This window comes from Homo sapiens, chromosome 2 (assembly GCF_000001405.40).
Source record: "Homo sapiens chromosome 2, GRCh38.p14 Primary Assembly".
In the NCBI taxonomy this organism is placed as follows: Eukaryota; Metazoa; Chordata; class Mammalia; order Primates; family Hominidae; genus Homo; species Homo sapiens.
In genome coordinates this window covers 237,666,620-237,680,323 of record NC_000002.12, presented here as the reverse complement: position 1 = coordinate 237,680,323, position 13,704 = coordinate 237,666,620, and the positions used below count along the sequence as shown (strand labels likewise).

General features: G+C 45.4%; 1 protein-coding gene across 29 annotated transcripts in view, besides 4 other annotated features; it reads right to left on the bottom strand.

Annotated features, from left to right (window-relative positions):
- The window catches only part of LRRFIP1 (LRR binding FLII interacting protein 1), a 154,057-nt gene that overhangs the window by 101,320 nt on the left and 39,033 nt on the right, over nt 1-13,704 (bottom strand). The gene's annotated exons all lie outside the window — the stretch shown is intronic.
- Nucleotides 4,704-5,250: an enhancer, noted in NCBI's record as "H3K27ac-H3K4me1 hESC enhancer chr2:238583717-238584263 (GRCh37/hg19 assembly coordinates)". NCBI's record gives its function as "activates a minimal SCP1, AML or CMV promoter by ChIP-STARR-seq in primed H9 embryonic stem cells {active_cell/tissue: H9 hESC(primed)}" and the evidence as "EXISTENCE:reporter gene assay evidence [ECO:0000049][PMID:30033119]".
- Nucleotides 5,008-5,147: an enhancer, noted in NCBI's record as "active region_17368". NCBI's record gives its function as "activates an Ori minimal core promoter by ATAC-STARR-seq in GM12878 lymphoblastoid cells {active_cell/tissue: GM12878}" and the evidence as "EXISTENCE:reporter gene assay evidence [ECO:0000049][PMID:35858748]".
- Nucleotides 5,204-5,498: an enhancer, noted in NCBI's record as "tiled region #636; HepG2 Activating DNase unmatched - State 1:Tss, and K562 Activating non-DNase unmatched - State 4:PromP". NCBI's record gives its function as "activates a minimal TATA promoter and a strong SV40 promoter by Sharpr-MPRA in HepG2 and K562 cells {active_cell/tissue: HepG2 | K562}" and the evidence as "EXISTENCE:reporter gene assay evidence [ECO:0000049][PMID:27701403]".
- Nucleotides 6,619-7,244: an enhancer, noted in NCBI's record as "H3K4me1 hESC enhancer chr2:238581723-238582348 (GRCh37/hg19 assembly coordinates)". NCBI's record gives its function as "activates a minimal SCP1, AML or CMV promoter by ChIP-STARR-seq in naive H9 embryonic stem cells {active_cell/tissue: H9 hESC(naive)}" and the evidence as "EXISTENCE:reporter gene assay evidence [ECO:0000049][PMID:30033119]".

Sequence of the window (13,704 nt, the reverse complement as noted above, 5' to 3'; positions counted from 1 at the left end):
AATGGGGCCTCACTGTGTTGACCAGGCTGGTCTTGAACTCCTGGCCTCAAGCGACCCTCCCATCTTGGCCTTCCCAAGTGCTGGGATTGCAGGCCTGAGCCACTGTGCCTGGCCAGCCACTGCACCCAGCCTTTTTTTTTCCCAAATATTTTTGATTTGAGATGGGTTGAATCCATGAATGTGGAACCCACAGACACAAAGGGCCAACTGTATTTATCATTTATTTGGGGATGGATCCGTGTCTTTTTAATGTGGAGTTTTCTTGTTCAGAGACAAGGTATTGCTCTCTGCATTTTTCAACTGACTATGTCCTTCAGTAAATTATTATGGTCTTCATATAGGCCCTGCATTTTTCTTTATTCCTACATGCAACATTGAGTGGGATTTTATCATTTTTTCCATTATTTAAAAAATCAGGCTGGGCGCGGTGGCTCATGCCTGTAATCCCAGCACTTTGGGAGGCCGAGGCGGGTGGATCACCCGAGGTCAGGAGTTTGAGACCAGCCTGACCAACATGGTGAAACCCTGTCTCTACTAAAAATACAAAATTAGCTGGGCGTGGTGGTGCATACCTGCAATCCCAGCTACTCGGGAGGCTGAGGCAGGAGAATCACTTGAACTCAGTTGGCAGAGGTTGCAGTGAGCCGAGATCATGCCATTGCACTCTAGCCTGGGCAACAAGAGCGATACACCGTCTCAAAAAAAAATCATTACGGTAGGATATAGGAATGCTTTGGTTTTTTGTTTCTGTTATTACAAACTATCTTACTGAACTCTCAGTTTGAGACTGACTTTTTGGATTAGACATACACATAATCCGCAAGTATTTACAAATTTTATCTACACCCTTTCAGTAGTTATATTGCTGATTTCTTTGTTGGGTATGAACATCAGAACTGCCATTATCATCATCATTTTACGGTTATTGCTGATATATTCCTTCTTCCTTAAATTACTCTACAATTAGAGAAATAATCAGGACACAGTAGCTTTGTGAGTTAGTGCTTGCTCTGTAATCACACAGTACAGGACTCAGCCTTGTCAGAATTTAAATAGCATTTAAAACTGCTTATGAGATAAACAGAGTTGTGTTGCAAGGCACCTGAAAGGAAACAAATTACACGTCTCATAACAAGATACTCTTGCCTAAAGGCTAGAATCTAAGTTAGACCAGTGGAAGATCAACTTGGAGAAGGAATAATACTTAAGTCAGTGAAAAGTGATTTTCATTGTTGATGCTGGAGTACAATTGTCTACTGTGGTGACAGGGAGCACAGATTCTAGGCGCGCTGTGCCTGGTGGGAGTCTTCAGCGCTGGGCAAGTTACATATCCTCTCTTTGTGTTTCAGTTTCCTCATCTGTAAAATGGGAGGGATAATGGTACCCAGTTCCCAGGGTTTATAAGGATTAAATGAGTTGCTATTGATAATCATTATTTAAGTAAATACAATACTAGAGATGTAAGTGCAATGAAGGTGTTTGATCTATATAATGCAAGCTACAAAATAGTTTGAGGGGCGGGGTGCTGTGGCTCACACCTGTAATCCCAGCACTTTTGGAGGCTACGGCAGGCAGATCACTTGAGGTCAGGAGTTTGAGACCAGCCTGGCCAGCATGGTGAAACCTTGTCTCTACTAAAAAAATCCAAAAATTAGCTGGGCTTGGTGGCAGGTGCCTATAATCCCAGCTACTCAGGAGGCTGAGGCAGGAGAATTGCTTGAACCTGGGAAGCAGAAGTTGCAGTGAGCTGACCTCACTCCACTGCATTCCAGCCTGGGTGACAGAGTGAGACTCTGTCTCAAAAAAAGAAAAAAAAATAGTTTCAGGATAATTTAATCTAAATCTGATGTACCCAGTCACACTTTACCAAGGGATGTGGGAGCTGACATTTGTCCCTGACACACCAGCCCCTCCCCACCCACCTTCCTGCATACCCCAGGGCTTCTACCTTGCCCTACTCTGCACAGCCTGCTGTGTACCCCCTGCTGCAGGGAAAGAGGTGTGCCTGTTAAAACACACACAACCCCAACAGTAACTGGAATTCTACATCCCGTGGCTCTAGTAGGAGTAACCTTACTACTTTTCTAGAACAAGAGGCCTGAACTTTGCGCTGGTTATTTTTTTAAGGCACCCGGTGATTTCCTAGTTGAAAGTTATGATCTAGACAGCTGGACTTGAACTTCGAGAGCCAGATAAGGAGCTATGACTGTGCCTCCAAAGAATGATATTAGGCAATGGAAGCTCATGAACTTCTCCTTTTTGGCAAAGAGACCCTCCCATGGTGTAGGTTTTAGAAAAAGGGGAAATGGTCCGCCCGAGGTGACGCAATGGACTCAGAGTATTAACAAGATAAATATGTTTTTAATATAAAGCATATTAAACCTTTTTAGCTCTAACACTCTACGATTATTTAAAATATATGCCCTACATTTAGAATACAATATTAGAGCTCCAAGTCTAACTTGCAGCATCTTCGTCTCTGGGGGAAGGCAGAGGGACCCAGGCAGTGAGGAAAGCAGAAATCAGGCAGACCCCGATGTGGCTGGGAGGGTGGCCTCCCGGTACCACAGGTAGGCTGTGCTAGAGGTTTCATGGTGGCTCGATAATATCAGATAATACAGTGATAAGAAGGGATCTGCACTGAAACTTCAAATAATTCACATTTTATTAATTATGTAGTTTTTAGTTTTTTGGGTAGAGATTGGATTCTTGCTATGTTGCCTAGGCTGGTCTCAAACCCCTGGCCTTAAGCGATCCTCCTGCCTTGACCTCTCAAAGTGCTAGGGTTATAGATATGAGCTACTGTGCCTGGCCTTCAAATAACTTATATTAAATGGACAAAATAATTTGGTCTTTTGTAGGTAGAAGCAACCCAAGTGTCCACTGATGGCTGAATGGAGAAACACAATGTAGTATAGATACATAGTGGAATTTAACTCAGAATTAAAAAGGAAGGAAATGCTGTCATCTGCTAAAATGTGAGAAAACCTTGAGGACATCATGCTAAGTGAAATCAGCTAGTCACAAAAGGACAAATGCTGTATGATTCCAACTAGATGAGGTACCTCATACTATTCATCAAGACAAAGTAGAATGATGGGTGCCAGGGCTGGATGGAGAAGAGAATGGGGAGTCAGCGTTTAATGGGGGCAGAGTTTCAGTTCTGCAAGATGAAGAAGTTCTGGGGATGGCTGGTGGTGCTGGCTGCACAAGAGGGTGAGTATACTTGATGTCACTGAAATGTACACTTAAAAATAGTTAAGATGGCAAACTTTGTTATGTGTATTTTAGCACAATTTAAAACTAACGTTTAAGAAAACAATTTACCCTTTTGTTTATGTAATCACAAAAGGAGGAAGACGAAAGCCAGCGCAGAGTTTCCCCAGAAAACAGGAGCCAGATGGTGCGAATCCAACAGACTCCACGTGAAATCAGCCACACCAAAGGTCAGGAGATCTGTGTGGAGAGAAACTTTCAGAGAAGGCAACCAGGGCACATCTCTGTTTTAAAACCATCTCCTGGGCCGGGCACTGTGGCTCACGCCTGTAATCCCAGCACTTTGGGAGGCTGAGATGGGCAGATCACTTGAGGCCAGGAGTTTGAGACCAGCCTGGCCAACAGGGTGAAACCCAATCTCTACTAAAAATACAAAAATTAGCCAGGTATGTTGCCCATCTATAATTCCAGCTACTCAGGAGGCTGAGGCACGGGAATCCCTTGAACCGGAGAGGCGGAGGTTGCAATGAGCCGAGATCGTGTCACTGAACTCCAGCCTGTGTGACAGAGCGAGTCTCTGTCTCAAAAAACAAAACGAAACAAAACCCACAAAAATAAAACCATCTCCCTACCATGAGCCCTCCACATTTGCAATTCATGAAAATGGAAAGCTGTCATGTCCCCACGTGAATTTTCGGGTCTCACTAGAAAGATAACCATCAGGACCGGCAACATGGGATTCAACAACAGTTTCTGGTCTAATTTTTTAAAAAGGACGAAAGAAGGCAGGCTGGTGTCATGCAATACTGCTTGCATTAAAGTATGTACATTTAAACTATGTACCTTGAACTTTTATTGGAAAAGCGAAGCTCAGTAGTAAAAATTTACGTTAATCAAATTCATGGAGACAGAAAGTTGCATGGGAGTTGCCAAGGGCTGGGGAAAGCAATGCCCACTCCACCTTCAGCTCTGTGAATTTGGGGAGTCAGTGTTTAATGTGTACAGAATTTCAGTTTGGGAAGATGAAAAAGTTTTGGAAGTGGATGATGGTGATGGCTACACACTAGCGCACTTAAAACCACTGAACTTTACACCTAAAAATGGTTAAAATGGTAAATCTTAGAAATATTTTATCACAATAAAATTATGGTCAAAGTTTTACATTATAAGAAAAGGGCCAGGTCAACCTACTGCTTTACAGCATCCTGTCCAGCTATAAAAATAGTGTTTAAGACAAGTATGAAGTAGAATTGGAAATGCTTATGACAAAGATTATGACAATTATATCTCTGCAAAAATAAACAACACCTAAGGCCCTAAGGAAATACATCAAAATGGAGCCATGGGTGTTTTTATGTCACAAGGAAGATAGAGATATTTTTTTCTTTACTTTTCTTTTCCAGTGTTCTTTTTTCTTCCATGAGCAGGTACTACTTTTAAAGGGGGAAAATAACAAAGTTCATTTCCTTCCATAACTTCATTCGAAAAGAAAGGGAGGAAGAACAGAAAGAAAACCCTTTATGTTTTGTGTTCCTAGAGGCATTTAAACCCAGCCCAGGAAACGGCAATTAATCAGGCTGGCAACTGCTCTCAGCTCTCTGTTTTTTGGTATAGTGGATCCCCCTGGCAGGCTGGTGAAGCCTGTGGAGCATTCTTGGAATAATATTTTTAAACGCATGTAACGAAACATAGGGTTACGAAGGAAACTGATTATTCTGAAACACATTGTCAAAAAATATTTTTAAATCCTGATATAGTGTATCAATCAGAGCCAAGTCAGGAGAAAAAGAAATTACAGCAGTGATTTCAATAGAAGCAATACAGGCAGCCCCTAAACAGGTGTTGCTTGGCCGAAAAAGCAAAGGAGGCCTCATACCACAGAGGCGTCATCTCAGGAACAGCTAGGGCTGGAGACAAAGACCGGGGTGATGGTCCCAGAAGGCTTGGAGTGGGGACCCGGACCTCAGAGCGGGGGCTCAGGAGGGACTGGTGAGGGTGGTGTCTGGGCGTGTGAAAAACACTAGAAACAGAACCAACAACTGCAGCCAGGGTGAAATCCCGTTGCTGGGGTGACGCTCACAGAAACAGGAAGCAGGCAGGAAGCAGCGTGCTCCGGGCTCCCTCCTCCCACTGCCCAGGCTCTCTCTGGGGGCAGGGCCCGATAGGGCACAGCTCTGGCCCTGCAGCAAGGAAGGGAGGGTTTGCAGTGGAGAGGCAACAGTTCAACAGCCAGCACGTGCGTGCACGTCCTTATTCCACCAAATACTGACAGTGATGCATGAAACCATTTCCCCAGCTCTCAGCAACAACCCGAAAGTGACGGAGAAATACCTGTGGTTTCTATTGGTGCTGAGGTCACACTTCTAATACTACCGAAGGTTTTTGCCCGCATTCATAATGGAAGGTAATGCTACCCTTTTATTCCTATTCAGTTTCGGGGATCTCTGGAAATCTATCCAAAGGCCCCTGGGGGAATTCTTGGACCCAAGGTTAAGAATCCCTCTGGGCCTTTCAAGGTGTCAAATGCAGTTCTTTTGTCTTCCTTAATTTTTGCTTTTGAAAGTCACATAATTGACCATTGATACCAGGGTTTTAAAACAGGTTTTTAAAGCAAAAATAATAAGAGGACAAACACATGCCATTCTGCACAGCTCTCATTTAACTAACACTGATGGCCACTCCTGCAGATAGCAAACAGTCACTTTTGCAGTGTATCACATTTTGCCTATTTCTGAATGCCACAGAAAAGAAGGAAAATGCACAACTGCCCTTGCGTCCTTGCCCCTGCTCATCTGCGGGCGCAGGCTAGGATTCTGGGGGGCTGCAGAGCTCTTTCCTGTAATACCCCACCACCCACTTTGACCACGACCTAGATGTTGATGGGCACCCAGTTCATATTTCCAATCCTGACTCCTCCAAGCCTCAGCCCCTGCCGTCTGGACACCTCTTCCTGGAAGCCCCAAAGGCACCTCAAATGTGACAGATCCAAAGCAGAATTCCTGCTGCCCCCTGAGTCCCTTCCCTGCATTTCCTTCCCGCGGGGGCAGCAGCAGTGCCTCCTAGCAGGCTTCACTTGAAGTCCCTGTGCCCAGACTCATGTGTAAAGGAGAGACAATAATAGTGACAACTTCATAGGGGTGGTTGTTGTGAGGATGAAACGAGACAATAGACAGTGTTTGTAGACGCGCTCTGCACAGAGCCTTAGTGTCAGGAAACGCCCACCACTCACTGCCAGCTGCTGGCGCTCCTGAGACAGCCTCCGCCCACCTCTCCGCCCGTCATCGAGTCAGCTTCCTCTCTTAATGCCACTCCGTGCCCTCCCACAGCTGCTGTCTTAGAGCAGGCCTCAGCATGTCTCCTCAGAATGATCTGAATTGTCCCCAAACGGTACCCTCCCCGCCACTGCTGCCAATGTGACTTCCTTCATTCACACATTGATTCATTCCATCCACAAACACGGACCCAGGGCCTCCGCCGTGCCAGATACCACGCCAGCTACAGACAGAACGACCGACCGGGGGCAGCCGCACTTTCTGGGGAGGACTGATGTCAGACAACCGCACACCCAGCGAGGGTAACTGTGAGGAACCACCCCACGCCACGCCCCACGCCACGCGCGGCACTGGATGTACAGACAGGAAACCCAGAGGGAAGTGCAGAGGTGCAGGGAGAAGGTGAATCTGACCCCTCAGCTCTCTTGGCGAGACCCTGGCGAGGCTTCACCTTGAGAATGGGGTGACGTCCAGACTCCCCCCGGGCGCCTACCATGGCTTCCTGGCGAGGCCCTGGCATCCTGCTGCCTGCGGGCCCTCCCAGCGCTGTCCCCGCATTGTCCCATCTCCTACAGACCAGGGACACAGAGGTCTGTTATGCCGCCTGGTGGTGACTTAGAGCCTTGGAAAGGGAATTGCCATGTTTATTTTTTTTTCACTGAAACAGTGTATAAAGATGCAACGGTATTTGTAATAAAAGAAGGCCCAGCCCTTAGCTGAAGAAGTTAGGCTAATCCGTGTGGGGGTTTCATTTCACCTGAAGAGAAGGTCCCTCCTTCACTGTCTCACAAAGTGAGAGAAAGCACAGTGTGTGGTAAGTCTGTTCTTCGCCTAAAACGACGGAGCACGGTCATCGTATTGTAAAAGAATTTCTCATGCTTCGTGAAGAATGGAAACACTGCAACCATCTATATAAGACGCCAAAATTCAGTATTTTGTGGCTTAGCTATAGCAATACCTGGAAACACAGATGACTCAAATTGAGAGGTTATGTTCAGAGCTTCAATATCAGGGACATAGTTAAAAGGATATATCATCCACATTTGGATACTGTAAAGTCTTATTTCAAAATATGATAAAGTAGATATTCTCTTAGAAGAATCAGAAGGAAACCAAATTTAAAACACACCAACAGCGGGTGCCAGGGTGAAATCCTGGCAAGGACAAATATTGAAAAAATGGTTCAATATTTTTTCAGGAACAAGATAAACTTTGTGTTGAGGAGTACAGAAAATTCCCTGCTTTCTTTCCATTTTGACAGAGCCATCTGATCATAATGGAAAACTAATAGTTTTAAGATCTTTTATTTTTCAAATATTAAATTTTCATTGAACACAAAACTCTGACTCTCTTGCAAAAGAACTACATTTCTCACCTTGATTTTAAGAGATTCCTATTGCCAGTAGATAGCTATATACTGTCTACTATTTTTTAAAAAGCCACTAAGAAAACAAGAAGCTGGGGCATCGATCCTCACTCTCTAAAGTGATTGTAGAGCTAGCTTGCTGTGTGCGCTCAAGGAATTCTAGAAACCATGAGAAGGAACTGAAGGAAGGTGACCCAGCAAGGCAGGTTCTGCTGTGGTTTAAGCCAGTTAGCTTTTTTACTTTTCTGGATACAGGTGCTTGGTACAGGCCAATATTGTATATGATGCAATATTATATATTTTAAAGGATCTAGACAGAAAGGAAAAAAAACATTTTTTTCAGAGACAAATGCTATGTTAAACTACTTCTGCCTAAGTAATTGTCTGCTGAAAAGAACTATTTACTGAAACACTGAATTTGAAAAGAATGATACTGTATCAAGTCATATAATTTCGTTAAAGAAGCAGAAGTGGAAATAAGGAAAAGAAACCCTCAACCCGGTGAACAGTGAAAAAGCATTAAGAAAAGATGTTGCCAGACGGGTTAGTTACAGCAGTTAAATGTGATTTACTTAGAGAGGGCATCTAGTATGTTTCAAAAGGAATACACAGACACACACATGCATGCAGGCACACACACACATGTGCACACACACATGCAGGCACACACACACCTGCACACACACAGGCATGCACACGTGTGTGCACACAGACACATAAAGCAGTGCTGAGTAGGCTGAGGAGCTGTCTATGAGTGGTGGCCCTGTCCCTGGCCAGCTTCTCCTGAAGGGACACAGACACGGGGAGCAGGGGTGATGAGCTGCCCACTGCAGGGTGAGAGCTCCTGAGCCACTCCTTGCTGCCCCGGCTTCCGTCCCCTTACCTGTCTTCCTTGTCCCTGTGACCCCAGCTCATCCTACCACAGTTCCCTTTAGTTGCTGGAAGACAAAAGGCTCACATGACATGAAATGTATTGTTACAATAGGTTTATCTCTGATTTAAACGTCTCCAACTTTAAAGTACCCAACCTATAAGCCAGTAAGAGAGCATCTATTCTGTGCCTTCCTGGGTTTCTGATGTGTGACAAGCAAATTAGCATTTGTGGGATCACGGATGTGCTCCGATTTGTTTTCTTAAGTGGAGTTGAAGTGTTTCAGAGCCTTAGCTGGTTTGAAGGCCTCTGGCTCTCAGATCTGTATGGCTGTGGCAGCTTATAACCACTATGGACACTTGTAGGATATGTGTGTAGTGCAGGTTATCACACGAGGGACACAAGTCCATGGGTCACTGCTTGGAAAGGGAACTTCTGGGATCATCAACGGTAATGGTCATTCGAAGCTGAAGGGGTTCCCTTGTTCAAAATCTCTGGACTCTTCATATGCAACAGGCCAGTTCTCCCCAGGGAGAACATAGCGCTCTTCAGATGAAATGCGAGGGATGGAATGGAACTTTCAAAGTAGGGGCTTGGGCTGCCCCACACAGCTGTTAGTGCCAGCAGCCTCTGTCATCTTCACGACCTCCGTGGGACTCCCAGGGAAAATATTTCTAAGTGAGGAGGAGGAGAGGGAGGAGGAGACCCTGCCGCTGAGGATGTTCCAGACGTTCGGAAAATGCCTGGCACGCTTCCATGTGCTTGCTTCTCGTAACGGCCCCACGGGGAGGAACAATCATGCTTTCTAGCTTAGACGCAGAAACTGAGGCAGGCAGGGGACGCAGCCTGCAGAGGTCCCATAGTCCTGAGCCACACAGCCAGAGCTGGGCCCAGGCAGGCAGGACCTGCCATCTGGGAGCGCTGTGACAGACATTCCTTAGACTGCCACCGAGTGCTGGCCCTGCAGGCGCTGTGTTGGGCACTTTCTATGTCTTAGTGCAGGTAAGTCTCAACAGCCTTGCAAAGTCTGTATTATCATCTGCACAGCACCAATGTGGAAACTGAGGCTCGGTGAGGCACGTACTGTAGTTGACACAGCTTCAATTCAGCTCAGCAGACCTCTGGCTCAGCATGATGGGCTGTCGGTGTTGCTGGCTCTGTCCTACCCCACCCCTGGCTTTCACAGAACAAATAAACATTTTCCCCTCCATCTTAAAATCACAGCCAGGAAGGGGCCTCCTAGTACATCTGGCCTAGGGCCGCTGCTCCCCAGCAGACCAATGTCATTATCTCAGGCTTGACCAGTGACCTGCCCAAGGCCACACAGCCAAGGGACACACCGAGGTGTCGGGGCACTGACGTCCCGGTGCAGGACGACCTCCTGTTGATCGACACTGCTTTCTGCCCTGCCAGCTGTGTTCTCATGACAGCAGATAGCTTTATTTGGGACATTTCAGACGTTTTCCTCTCTGCAAAATATCCAGTTGACAAATCATCATGAGAATATGCATTACGTTTTCCTTTCTAAAATTAGAACTATCTCCCACCATTTGTCAAATGCCCAAGAACACAGGAAAACTGACTCTTCCCAGCTGGTTTTCATTAGATGATATGGTGTCTAATATTCAAATCTGTCCAAAGACGGCCCCAATCTTTTGCCAGAAGTTGACTCAAGCTGATTCTCCCAAAAGCAACGTGCGAGGCTCTATGCCACGTGCACACATCCCACATTTGGGCGGAAATGGAGACCGGTCAGGCTTCTGCTACTCAGCCACTGTTTCCTAGGAATGAGCTCATGGAACAGCCGGTCCATGTTTAATGACACCGTTATTTTTACAGGGAGGAGTGTGGTTAAGCATTTACCCGGGGTGGAGGCATCACTGTGGTTCTGCTGAACTCCAGCTTTTAGCACTCACTCCTCTGCTCAACAAACCGTGACGGCCTCAACATCATACAAGAGAAAGCCCGGCAGGAAACTCCGTTTAGGGTTATCAAGCACCTGGTCAGGCATATTTCTTTAAAGACATGAGGAAGATATTCAGTTCCTAATCTAAACTGAAAAAAAATATTTGCAACAACTATGAAAAAGGTTAATAAGCAATCCACAAATCAGCAAGAAAATATCAACACTCACTCTAAGACACGTTTTGACGATTTGAAAAAGAACTTGAGATACCTAAGAATCAGTTAGCTGCCAGTTTTTAGCTGTCAAATTTACAAAGCTGAGATAATCACAGTACTTAATCCTGTGATGAACAAGACACTCTCAGACAACACAAATGCAAGTGTAAACTGATACACCCTTTCAGGAAAGCAAAGCTCCAGGTCCTTAACCGTGTTTGTAGGTTTGGGGTTTAAATTGCACTTCTAATATTCTAATTTAAGGAAATAATTTGAAGTAGAAAAACCTCACTCTTAAAGATGTTCACTGCAATGCTATTCACCGCAGTAAACAAACACAAAAGCCTCAGTGTCCAGCAATACGGAAGTGAGGACGTGATGGTGCATCCTCAAAGCCATATTTTGTGGCCATTAAAACATTTTTACAGAGCATTTGATACAAGAGTTACGCTTATTTCTTTCCTTAAAAAAAGGAGATTTTAAAAATGCGCTATTTAGAGACACATAATTGAGACTATGTTAAAAAAAAGTCACAGATAAAAGAATGGAGAAAAATAAACAAAATGTTAACAGGTATTGTGCTTGGTCAAGTATGAGGCATAATTTTTATTTTCTACTATTGCCTGAATTTTCCTTATTATTTTTCTATAATAAACATGTATTACGTTTAATATAATAAATATTTTCTTTCAGCAACAATTACCCTTGTTGCTGATTTCTTCATTTATTCAACAGAAAGACTTCTTGTAAGCTAAACCTCAGGAAAAATGCTGTGAGGATAATAAGCAGCTAGTGTGAATGTTCCTACCCCAGCCGAGGAAGTCAGGGAGGGCTTCCTGGAGGAGGGGGAACTGAGGCTGGAAGGATGGAAAATGATGGGAAACGCTCTTCAGTAGCTCGGTACAACTGGAGTGTAAGACCCCCATGGGAGAGAGGCAGGAAGGAGGGGGCTAAGAGGCCCCTGGTGCCATCATATGGCTTTAAAATGTATCCCGGAAGCTATGGGAGTCATTAAGGATGGTAAGGCGGGGAACCATAGCATGAGGGTTGTGTTTTCTTTCTCCTTTTGTGAAGATGGTAAGGCAGACTTTATTTCAGGGGGCCATGATGACAGGCACAGGGACAGCTGTGACGGGGCCTTGTCCTGGGGAGAGAGGCTGCTGTTTTCAATCCCAAGGCTGGCATGTCCTAGGATCACTAGGACACCAAGATGAAGATGCAGGTGTGGTGGGGCCAATCTTGGAAGCAGATGGACTGGGAGGCTGCCGAGGTCACTATGTGAGGGGAGGGGCCTCAGCCAGCTTCACGATTTCACCGAGGAGGGGAGGGGAACAAGCTCGGGGGAGCCCCGGCTCAGGCAGCTCTGAGGTGGGGGGATGAGAAATGCAGGAGGAGCAGCTGCTGGCAGGGTGATGAAGAGTGTTGGGGAAAGGGGGGTGTCAAGTTGTCAGGTGGAGTTCAAAAGAAGGGTCTGGGCAGGACATGAGGGCATCCAGGGGTTGTAAAGCCAAATGTGGCTGCAGCTGCTAAAGGGTGTACTGTAAATTGGCATAGGAGAAAGGCGCAAACCTCATGAAAACAAGCAGAGAAGCCCAGGAACCCGGGAGAGGCTGACGGAGCCTGAGTGAATGGTGTTAGGGAAGCTACAGGGCTCGGGGGCTGGGCCAGTCCTGTGCCGGGAACACAACTGCCACTCCACCCTGGTTAGGCCATTTCACGTCAGGATCCCAAATGAATACTATGAAAGCCACACACAGGGAACGGTCAATGAATGAACAAACGTGTGCTCCATGCTTTGACACTGTTGGTGGGAGTGTAAATTAGTTCAACCATTGTGGAAGACAGTGTGGGGATTCCTCAGGGATCTAGAACCAGAAATACCGTTTGACCCACCAATCCCATTACTGGGTATATACCCAAAGGATTATAAATCATTCTACTGTAAAGACATGTGCACACGTATGTTTACTGCAGCACTATTTACAATAGCAAAGACTTGGAATCAACCCAAATGCCCATCAATGATAGACTGGATAAAGAAAATGTGGCACATAGACACCATGGAATACTATGCAACCATAAAAAAGAATGAGTTAATGTCCTTTGCAGGGACATGGATGAAGCCGGAAGCCACAATTCTCAGCAAACTAACACACGAACAGAAAACCAACATGTTCTCTGAGTGAATGGTGAACAGAACACCACATGTTCTCACTCATAAGTGGGAGGTGAACAGTGAAAGCACATGGTCACAGGGAGGGGAACAACACTTACCAGGGCCTGTCAGGAGGTCAGGGGGAAGGGAAGGGAGAGCATTAGGACAAATACCTAAAGCATGCGGGGCTGAAAATCTAGATGATGGGTTGACAGGTGCAGCAAACCACCGTGGCACGTGTAGACCTATGTAACAAACCTGCATGTTCTTCACACCTATCCCAGAACTTAAAGTGAAAAAAAAAACAACTAGAAACAAGCTATCTGTGAAAATGCTTTGTGATATGGATTTAACAAGAAAGAAAGAAAGAAAGAAAAAGAAAGAAAGAAAGAAAGAAAGAAAGAAAGCAGGAAGGCAGGGAGGGAAAAAAGAAAGGAACAGAGCGAGAGAAAGAGAAGAAAGAAAGAAAGAAAGAAAAAAGAAGGCAGGAAGGCAGGGAGGGAAAGAAAGAAAGAGAAAGAAAGAGAAAGAGAAAGAAAGAGACAGAGAGAAAGAGAGAAAGAAAGAGAAAGAATGAAAGAACGAAAGAACAAAAGAAAGAAAGCGCACTCCACTCTATGACGTCAAGGACATGTCTCTTCACTCCGTGTGGCTTCTGCAGTACCAGCAGGGTTTGCTTCACTCCTCTTGCCTGCAACCCGTC